The following is an 11935-nucleotide window of genomic DNA, read 5'->3' on the forward strand; positions in this document are numbered from 1 at the left end:
TCTATTGTATTCTTAGTATTTTCTTCTTATGTGTAACTTGTTTATGTAATAAATACATTAAAACTTTGTGGTATTTGTTGCAAGTTTTTTTTCCCCAGTCTGTTGACTTTAAAAATCACATTTAACTTGATTTTCTTCTATTTTGAAAGATATGTAAATTGGGCATGATGTGATTTGTAGCACAGTTTGAAAGGGAGCTGTTGATACAAGTGTCACCATGGTCACTTTTAAACTTCTTTTAAAAGATCTCATATATTTCAGCTTATATGCTCTTTTAAAAGGAGAAATAGGTTTCTTCTTTTGTCAACAAATTATGAGAGCATCTAAATTAGTTAAATTTTATTTATCACTCTGAAATAATACTTTATGAGACATTTTCTATTTTAAGGGGAAATATCTAGCATTAATCAATGTGTTAAAAAAAGAAGTGTGAAAATAATTTCTAAACTATTACAGTGAAAGATGAACAGTGCTGATCACTTTGTACCCAGGGTATATTATTTGGCTGCAGCGAAGTGGAATTAGAGCTATAGTGAGATGCTTCACAGAAGAATTTTACTTTGTATCTTTCCTAATCTGGCAAGCATGAGTACTTGTAAACTGGGAGAATGTCTGACTAGAACATTATTTTCTTCCTACAGGTCAACCAAACCTTCTCAGTCCTAAAGTTGTCTCAACACTGAAGCTCTGTAGAGCAGACCATCATTACTGAATTGTACCAGATGCTAGAGCTTGTCTGACATACATTTAAATTTTCATTTTCCTGGACAACTTAATGATATAGAATAGTCATTTAGTTTAGGTCAGATTCTCATAGGCAAAGTAAAACAGATATCTAGATGGTTTAGGCAAAATGTAGAGAATTTTTATTTGGCTTGAACTCACTCAGTGGTGGCTTTAATGCTCTACCCTCTCTTGGTTATAGATTCCTGTCTCTTATTTTTTTTCGTTTTTGTTTTTATTTTAGGACAGTTTATCCCAGAAGGCTAAAGTTGCCTTGCATATTCAGTTATTACAACTGTAAAGTTTGGAATCTGCACAAAGGGTCTGAAATACAGATTTTTAAAACAACAGATAATAAATAATAAGACTTAAAAGATAGTTCTTGTTTTAGTTTGCCAATTCAACTCAAGGGATAAAAAACACAAGCATTGTAACTGGCATTTTATGGCTATAAACTAATGTAAATGGATAAATAGCCACAATACCTTTAAAACCAATTCCAACTAATGAAGAAATATGCCTTTAATGATGTGTGCTTTTAAAAGGAATTTCCTGTGAGTCCTGTTTTAAGAAAGCAATTGTTTGAATTGACTTGTCAGTGATAACAAAAATTCATCTGCTTCTTTTCTTACATACATGATCATGAATATTCTAAACTCAACTTGTACTAAAATCGAAATGGGTAATTCAAGTGTGGATTTATTTAGTTTAAAAATTAAACTGTTGTATTAAATATGGACGACATTATTCAAGAGAATAAAACCTAAGAGGAAAAGTAACCAGTATCAAAAAACTATTATTCTTGTCCCACGTATAAATTATCTTCTAAGTATTAATTCTAAAAGCTTCATGAGCTAACGTCCAATTATGCTGATAAAAATGTGATGCCACCCTTGATATTAAAAAATGATGTTAGTGATGACGATTGCTTCTCTGTGTTGGGACATAAATCATGTACAATGAAAGATGCTTTCTACACTATGCAGGAATGAGGGCTGCCCTGTGATTTGTGGCTGCAGCCACTGTTTGTAGATGATGGCTTTGCTTCTCAGCTTCTTTACTTCTGTGCTACTCAAAACCTCTGCTAGAGAAAACAACCATCAAAGGCCTGACTGCTGCACACAGAACAGGTCTGTTTGCTGCTTTTGTTTCCTAGCAGTCTCCAGCGAAAGTAATTAGAGCAAATACATGGTTTAATTAGGCTCCTAAAGCTTTCCTGTTATCTTAAGAGTCAACTTAAAGTTAACTTAGTTAAAAATCAAGCATTTCTTCCCACCTTCAAAAGATAAAAGTTTCATTTGGAAATAACTTTTACTAAGTAAGATAAACATCAGAACAATGAAGTCTGCTAGGTTTCACATAAATTTTAATGATTTAACATCATACATGTTCTCCATGCTAATATAAATCAATAATAGAAAATTTAGCTTAATGCTATGCTCTTCCGTATTAATATCATATAGCAGTATTTTTCTTAGTGTCAAAAGGCTATCAATTCATACTGCCTTGTCTTCAAAAGTTAGAATCTTTATTTTTTAAATTAAGTAGGATAATTACATAGTTAAATATATTATTTTAAAGGAGTTAGTATCATAGACTTATATTTTTCTTTGGATATTTAGAAAGCCAGCTGTCATATTTAGGATAATATGTATTATGTTTCTTGTTGTTTCCCCTCTCTCCACTCCTCACATGGTCCTGCAATATCTGTCAGATTGAACACTTTGTTTCACTTTCATAGTCACCATCCTTGTCCCTGCCATAATTAACCCTACCAGAATTGCCTAAGTAACTTCTTAAACTGGCTTCTGCATTCTTCAGTCTCTTCTTCATATAGCCAGCAGAATATTTCCTTTCATATGTTCCTTTCATCATACAATTCCCTGCTCAAGGACATACAGAAGCCCCCCTCCCCCTTTCTCTGCTATATCAGAATTAAATAACTAACCCTAATATGTTTCCCTGTTCTCCACTGACACAACAACCAACCTCTTTTTCTCTCTTGCTGTATACAACCTTTTCTTCCAAATTTGCCTCCCATTCTATTACAGTACATTCTTGCTGCCCACACCTCCACACAGGTTGGTTTCTTAATGGCATTCTGTATACGATTTCTCAATTTCCATCTTTACTTAAGCTGTTTCCCTCTTTTTCCTCATCACCAACTGATGCCAATCATCTTTCTCAAGAATAAGATCAAGACCCAGAAAAAGGTTTCCTCCATCACATAATCCCACCGCCTAATCTCTTTAAGCATTGGATGTAGGTGGAGCTAAGGATTTAGTTGGTATTCATCCATACAGGCATATCATTGTTAAATGATAGTCATTGGTAAAATAACGAATACTTTTCTACCACTTAGTAAATAGCTACTGCCCTGAAACTGTTCCCCACTGAGTAGTCTTCTTGCCCACCCATTGTCCTGGCTACTACAACACCTCCGTTAGGACCTTCTACCTCTCCACTATCCCGCAACTACAAGGTTAACTACTGGCACATTGAGGGGCTTCCAGGATTCCATACTCAAATTTTGACTGACATACATTCTTATTGGTTGGCTTGTGCTACGCAGGTTGTTGAACAGTTAAAATTACCATGCCTGGATATAACTAATCCCAGAGTTGAGAACACGGTTCTAGGCTATATGCTCCTCGAGGGCCAGGAATTAATGCTTGGTATAACAGTCTGGCAATTATCAGTACATGTTTGCTTCAAGGAAGGAAGGAAGGAGAAAAGAAGAGTGGGAGGGAGGGAAGTGGGGAGGGAAGGGAAGAGGATTAAAGGAAGGAAAGGGCAGAAGGAAGAAGGAAGGGAGGGAGGGACAAGGGAGAAGGGAAAGAGAAGAACAACAATGTTCAAGACGTCAATGCAGACTACCTCCCCCTCCAAATCACTTGCAACCATGCCAAAACTCTCCATGACTGATGGCAAGGCTTGGTGACTTATGCCCAACTTAACATCTCTTCCCTCTCAAAAATATCACGCCCATTGTTTTCCTCATCTATCACAGGTCAGCAAATCTTTTTCTCACACATATTTCTTTCCCATCTTGCAGTTGTTGTTAGAAACCTCAGGAAATGTCTGTGCCCATTGATTTCCCCCTCCTGTCTTTAGTTCCATTTAGGAACAAAGAGAAATTTTAACCTTGATCATGTAAGGTTATAAGTATAAACTTACTTAATATTAGTCTTAGGGTAATGGTGATGATAAACCTCCATTAAGGAAAAGCACTTAGCAGTTCCTGATATCATTTTTTTTCCTTTCTCATTCCTTCCACTAGAATATAAGCTCCCTATATTCCCATATATTCTGCATGTATACTTACCTTGTATTCCCAATGCCAAGAACAGTGCCTGACACATGGTAGATACTACTCTCAATAAATATATGCTGAAGGAGTGAATGAAAATTAAAAAAAAGTTTTGAAATAGAGATACCTCAAGGATCACAAGTGCTTTTGTAAAGGATCCCCTTAAGAATCTCTACAGAAATCTTCATCTATCTGCTTTAATTAAACATGCTCTTTCTCAATCATCAGCATTCAAAATATGTCCAGATATATTTTATAAGCCTAGTTTGTAATCACTTTTATTTTCCAATGTTTCTCTAATTGTTAGTATTGCAACCCTTTTTCTTTCTACTGTATTTTCATAGCGAATATGCAGACAGAATTTTCACATATTGTGAATTAAGTGGGTTTCTTTTGGCAAATATATAAATCCAATCGGCGTTTATTCAAAATGTTTCTATTGGTAAAATGTGTTCTAAGTTTGAAGCAATCATTTTACAAACTGCTTTTGAAATACAACCATTTTAAGTTTCCTGAGTTTCTGTATTCAGTCTTTATTTTACTGTCAGATGATTGTTTATGAAATGTAAGTACTTTTCATTTGCCTCCTGAGTGGATGCTTTATCATCCCAAATGTTTTGTAAGCCCTCCTGAGGGCAGGGATTGCATTCTTCTACTTTTGTTTGCCCTTTCATGGTGTCTACTACTGCGTGGAACCCAGTAACTACTTGTTGAATGAAAGATTTTACCTAAATGCAAAATACTACATAAGGTGATGAACTCAGAGAACAATGTATTATTTTTTGCAGAAGGTGAAATATCAGTCATTCAATACACTTTTCAGTATTTAGGGCCACTGCAGCTGTGAGTCATGTTAGAGAATACATTTTCTTTAGGCTTGTTAATCATCCCTCTTTGACAAAATTTTTCACATAAGGTTTATTTAAAAAGACAGCAATACAGGACAATAAATTATAATTATGAAAATAGCAGCGTAAGTTTAAAATATTTCTTTCATTAATTATGTGTTGTTTCTTCCTCTTAAATTCATTATCACAGAGGATCATGAATTATTATGTAAAGAATGTGATTTGAGTTCAGGAGTTAGAAGGCAAAATGTTTGAGCTTATTTTTTTCAGGACCTTTTCTTTTTTCTTTTTTTTTTTTTTTGAGACGGAGTCTCGCTCTGTCGCCCAGGCTGGAGTGCAGTGGCGCGATCTCGGCTCACTGCAAGCTCCGCCTCCCAGGTTCACGCCATTCTCCTGCCTCAGCCTCCCGAGTAGCTGGGACTACAGGCACCCGCCACCACGCCCGGCTAATTTTTTGTATTTTTAGTAGAGACGGGGTTTCACCGTGTTAGCCAGGATGGTCTCGATCTCCTGACCTCGTGATCCGCCCGCCTCGGCCTCCCAAAGTGCTGGGATTACAGGCGTGAGCCACCGCACCCGGCCTTTCAGGACCTTTTCTAAATTTGAGACTAGAAGTCAAAAGAGAAATAAGGAGGGAAAACTTTCATTTGTGGTCACGGAACAAAGAAATTTAGACTCTCATAGTGAACTGCTCTCTTCCTTCTATGACTGCGTTAAAAATACCTAGAATTGTATTTCTTACCCTGAGTCATAGTTACTTGGACATTCAGTTTATAGTTATTATTTAAACTGCATATATGTACTTATGTACTTTTCTGTATATATGATATATTTTGCAACATAAAACAAAATAGATACCTTAAGGCAAAATCTGGTCCAAAGAGGGAAGCATATTAATACTTCACACTGATTCAAAATTAAGAAACAAGTAAATCATTTTTTCTTTTTCCTAATTAGCATTCAGAAAGGAATAATGTTAACATTTGAATACAGCATTTAAGAAATGGTTGACATTTGCATCTGAAAGGAAGTGTCCCTTGGAAAATAAAATTGGTGCTTTCAGTATTAAAAAATAAAAAACCAAACGAAGCAAAGTGTTTTGTCTACCTAAAAAGATTTCTTGAAAGATTAAGGTCCACCTGAAGACTTTTGTCACATGGTTCAGCACTCCCCTGGGATCTTCCAGGTGTAATAGAATCAAAGCTGAGAGTTCTGCAAAGAGTGAGACAGGTAAACGGAGAAATCTTATTCAAAGTACCTAATTGTACAAGTTGATATTTATCAGAGAAAACTTACTTTTTTCTTGAAGCTTATTCATTTTCTATGATTTTGTCTGTGTATATGTGTGTACAATATAATTGCGGTTTTAGTATAATTTTTTCTCATGAACAAGATTATATATTTCTTGAGGATAGGGATAATCTATTGTCTGGCTTTCATGCTCCCTGCGTGGCATAACTCTGGTTAGTCACCTAATACTTTTGCTTGATTTTCAAATGCATACATGTCACATTCTGATAGCTTGTGACTCCTTTGTCTCATCCATTTTATACCCGAAAGAATATGCTAGAAGATAGATATAACAGCCTCTTGTTTTGTAATGTATACCATCTGGAGGCAGTAATAGCCATTAATTGTAAATTTTTAGGGTGTTGGTATAATTAAAATGATTAAACTATAAATTTGAAAGCAGGTGTGATTTGGAATCTTGAAATATTATTCATTCTACAGACATTCAATTTAAGTTGATTATTTGGTATTCTTACCTACCCTAAATTAAAACAAAACAAACAAAAACTCCCTGAATTTACTAGAACCATAGGCTTATGCCTAAAATAATAGCATGACATAATATTTGAGAAATGTATCTTTAAATTTCTATTACTTGAAGTACAAACTGATTTCCTCTCCATAATCTTTCTTTGAATTGAAAGTCTCATATCTTAAAATTTAATCATTGTCATAGTTTACAGTGTTACAAATTACGTTTAGCAACTGTATTGCTAAATACAGTCTCTAATTTTTAGAGATCTTTATTCAGCTTTGGCTAAGTGTTCCTCTTTCATAAGAATTGTACATGTATGATATATCTTTGTTTTACAATTTCAAGTACATACCCATAGCATACCACCTACTCATAAGTATTAATAAAACTTTCTTTAACCCTTCATGTCTCCTCGCTAACTAGTTGGACTGCCATTTGACCTTTGTTATGCCATAATGGAACCAGTATTTGATAATGACCACAATATTGATCTTTAGTAACAAGAAAGGTATGGAAAGAGCACTCTACTGGAACTCAGGGAAGGTGGGTTCTAGTCCCATTTCTGCCACGTATTAGCTGTGTGATCTTAAGTAGGCCATTTAATCCCAGTTTACTCTTTAAAAAATGAGAGATTAGAACCCAGTGGTTTCTAATGTTTCTGAGACAGGGAGAAAGAGGACAGATATGTACTCTCTGGTTTCTGTATGTTTAGTTTGTTTCTTATGTTGAATCATTTCCACAGAGAATGTTTCACTGTACTCTCAGAACAAAAAATGTAACAATGGAACATCTTAAAATAAACTACAACTTTGTTTTCATCCCTTTTTTCTTCCATTCATTTATTCAAAAACATTTATTGCAGTTCAGATATGTTCTAGCTAGTGTTTAAGGTACTGCAGATATGGCAATGAATAAGACAGACGAGGTCTTTATACTCTTGTGGAGTTTATATTCCAGTAAGGGGGTAGCCAAATAAATAAACACATAAGAAAATATTAAGTAGGGACAAACGCTATGATTAAAATGGAACTGGGTGATATGATGGATAATTTAACTATATTGGATCATCAGGGAAGGTCTCTTCCAAAGGAGAAGACTTTGTTCTGAGACCCAAATGCCAAGAAGAAACTAGCCATGCAAAGATCAGAAGAAGAATTCCAGGCAGAGGAACAGAAGCTATCAGAAAGGTACAAAGGTATAAAAGCCTTCGTGAGCTTGGAATGTTGGAGGAACAGAAAGAAGGCCAGTTTACTTTAACATAGTGCGATCAGAGATACAGGGGCCACATCAGGGAGGGGTTTATAGGACAGGTAAAGAGTCTGGAGTTTATTCAAAGTGCAATAGGTAGCCACTGGAGAGATTGTAGCAGGAGAACGAGATTACCTGGATTATGTTTTAAAAGGGCACTCTGGGTGCCACTTGAATTGTAGGTGGCCAAAAGTGGAAGCTGAGAGACCAACTAGAAGAATATTTTAGTGCTCTAGATAAAGATGGCTTAGACAATGGTGATAGTAGTGGATGTAGAGATAATTGCACAAACTTGGGATGTATCTGGAAGGTAAGGTCTACAGAACTTGCAACAGGATTAGATTTAGATTGTGAGGGACAGGAGTGAATCAAAGCTAACTCCTAGGTGTTTGGCATGAAGAGATTTAGTGGAGTTCTTATGCACTTAAACATTTTTACGGAAAATAGAACCCACTGAACATTAAACTCTATATAACTTCATCTTCCCCATCTTTTTGTGTACACACATGTGATTTTGTATAGTAGTCCCCTTTATATGTAGTTTTGCTTTCTGTAGTTTCAGTTACCTGTGGTCAACCACAATCAGAAATTATCAAATGGAAAATTCCAGAAATAATTTGTAAGTTTTCAATTTCACACCATTCTGAATAGCATGTTAAAATCTTGTGCCATCCCGCTCCATCCATTCCAGTACATGAATCCTCCCTTTGTCCAGTGTATCAGCAGTGTCTTCTCTACCCACCTGTTAGTCACGTAGTAACCATCTGGGTGATAAGATTGACTGTCATGGTATTGCAGTGCTTGTGTTCAGGTAACCCTTATTTGACTTAATAATAACCCCAACATGCAAGATAAGTGATGCTGGCATTTTGTTATAATTGTTCTATATTATTATGAGTTTTTTTTTTTTTTTGAGATGGAGTTTCGCTCTTGTTGTCCAGGCTGGAGTGCAATGGCCCGGTCTCGGCTCACTGCAACCTCCGCCTCCTGGGTTCAAGCAATTCTCCTGTCTCAGCCTCCCAAGTAGCTGGGATTACAGGCGTCTGCCACCATGCCTGGTTAATTTTTGTATTTTTAGTAGAGATGAGGTTTCACCATGTTGGTCAGGCTGGTCTCGAACTCCTGACCTCAGGCAGTCCACCCTCCTTGGCCTCCCAGAGTGCTGGGATTACAGGCGTGAGCCACCGTGCCCGGCCTATTATGAGTTCTTATTGTTAATCTCTTACTCTGCCTAATTTATAACTTAAGTTTTGTCATAGGTATGAATGTACAGGAAAAAAAAAACAGCAGATAGAGGGTTCAGCACTGTCTACGGTTTCAGGCATCCACTGGGGTTTCAGAAAGTGTCCCCTGAGGATAAGGCAGAACTGATATAGCTGTAATCAGTGAAGCAGAATGTTTGAACAGTTTGATGTTATTTTTAATATTATTTACACAGACAACTCTATGAACATAAATCCTAGCCCTTGTCATTTTCGGCATGGCTATAGCATTCTCATATATTCCTCTATTATTATTCCTATTATCACCCTAATCTTGAAATGTATTTGGTATTTTAAAAAATACTACCAATTTAATTTTTTGTCAAATTCCACACTACTTTCCCTGGTCTGTTTTCTATTTTTTATCAAATATGTATTAAGTACCTTCATGTACTAGGTAATTAATTACTGTCATTTTATTTTAAAAAATTTAAAAAATTATAAAATTACTGTGTAACTCTGGAGATTAGCTTGCAGAAGGGTAGGTAAAAGGAGCACCTGAAAGCAATGGAGGAAGTTTTGTCCTACTTAGTTCCAAATATAGTATTAAACTTTTTTATGATGAATGCTATCATACATAATATGAATTAAATGATGGGTTTAGCTGTCTTCATGTTTGACCGGGACTATAAGAGTCTGTTGCACAAAAGCAGAACACGCATGAAGGTGATTCATAGCTTTATGAGAATGTTTTTTTCAGATTATTATTGTGCTACCCTAGAAACTGTTTGGAAACAGACATTCAGTCTCTGATAGCTAAACAAACCAAACTGATGTGTCTTCTGCTACTGTTATTTCTCAGCTGGATATCCAATGCTGCATTGTTTGAAGTTTTCATATTCAGACTGCCCTTGAAATGTTTCCTCTGTTCTCCTTGGTTATTATTTCCTCTCTGAAGATGATCATACCTCCTTTCATCTATCCTTTTCATTTCATTTGCCAAGATACTGTCTTGCCACTTAAAGTTAGGTGAGGGGACTAAAAGAAGACATTAATAAAAATATTCCAAAAGGCCCTCAGGATCTCCATAGTAGCCGATGATCAACACCCATGGAAAACATGGAGTGAGAAGCTCTAGTGCTCATTTAATTTGGAATTACACTTATGTGTAGCATCCTGGCAGGGTTTTGTTATCACTGCATTTGGGGTCATGGTTTTAAAAATTATGTAGCTCTACAAAGATTATTATAAAAACAACAGTCCTCTTCCCCCATTTTCTCCTCTCCAGAGGCAACAATATTCATCTCTTATGCCTTTATCTTTGATTCTTAGCTCATTATTTCTAAGCTAAGTGTTTATATTGTTATGTCTTGATTGTTCAGGTTTAGGTATCTGTTAACTTCTCTCTATGAAAGATCAGTATTTTGATCTATTTCACATAGATACATAGACAATCATATACACTCCACACACATGCACCCTTCACATCCCTTCATTTTTCCACTGCAGATATACTGTGTTTCCATTGTTTTGACTATGCAAATGCAATTAACAGGTGAGCCAGGTAATATACTAGGATACTTTGCATTTCCTCTATTACTTTGTATTCTTCTTGGAATTAATATTTTTTGGCTGTTGAATTTTTTGTTAGTAGCACTAATTCAACCATATATTTTCCACCTATTTTCTAAATATGCTTTCAATTTATTCAGACACAGGAAGTCCTTGAGTTTTATTTGCTGTCCTATTTTCCAGGTCTTTTGCTCTATTCTTATTGAGTACTCCATTTCTGCTTTCATATTTTTTCATCTTTGAAAAGTTTTTTTTCTATTCTCTATTTTTATATAGCATCCTATTATTTCATAGTTCAATATCTTCTCTAATATCAGGGATATTGATTTTAGTTACAATTATTCTCTCTGCATGTGGAAGAGAAAATTCATTGCCTCTGAACATCCTGGAAAACTGGAAGTGGTTAGACAGCAAGTGGCAAGGACAGATTTTTCATACCAGAAAGCTGGTACACTTTTGTTAAAGGTAACAGTCACCTAGGATATCTTGCAAGTCCGACCACATGCTGCTAACTGAGCCTTCAGTATTAGAGGAAATGGTTTTTAAAAATTCATAATGTTGGTGCATCTCTTACTTTGTGCTGCTTTTAACTACTAAGTTTTCTTACAAGAAAGAGAGTGCAATCCAGAGATAGCCAAAAGGAGGCATGCTATGCTTGTAGTTTACAATCTAATTTTACTTGCGGAACATGCAGAGATGAAAAAAAACAATTACTTTCAATATGACAAAATGAAACAGTGATAATCAATAAGACAGTATTAGAAGTTGAGAAAATTTTGGCCCCAAGTATTTTTTTAGGAGGGTCTATTTAAGAGTTCTCTTCCTGATGATGGGATCTAGCAAAAATTAAAGTAAGGGAATTTTCTTACCACTGAAACTTATTTTAGATGACTTCCAGGTATCCACCATTAGGTTGAGATAGAAAGAGTAAGGAGAAACACAGAGACTAATGAATAAAATATCAGAGATCGGATTAAAAACTAACTCTAGAAAAGATCATTGTATGTTCTTACTCCCTCATGAGACTGAGAAGAAGTAATGAGTCTAGAAGCCTATAAGTTTTTAAAGATATTGAATTGCCAAAGAAGCTACGAAGGTTCCGAAAACCTGTGATACAATGGCACCAAATCCTGTGAAATATTACATATAAACCTAATAAAATATGTGCATGAGCTGTACATTGGAAACTATAAAAGACTGATGAAATGAAGACCTAAAGAAATAGAAAAATGTTTTATGTTCACGGATTGAAAGACTCAATAGTCTT

Source organism: Homo sapiens, chromosome X (genome assembly GCF_000001405.40).
Source record: "Homo sapiens chromosome X, GRCh38.p14 Primary Assembly".
NCBI classification, from domain to species: domain Eukaryota; kingdom Metazoa; phylum Chordata; class Mammalia; order Primates; family Hominidae; genus Homo; species Homo sapiens.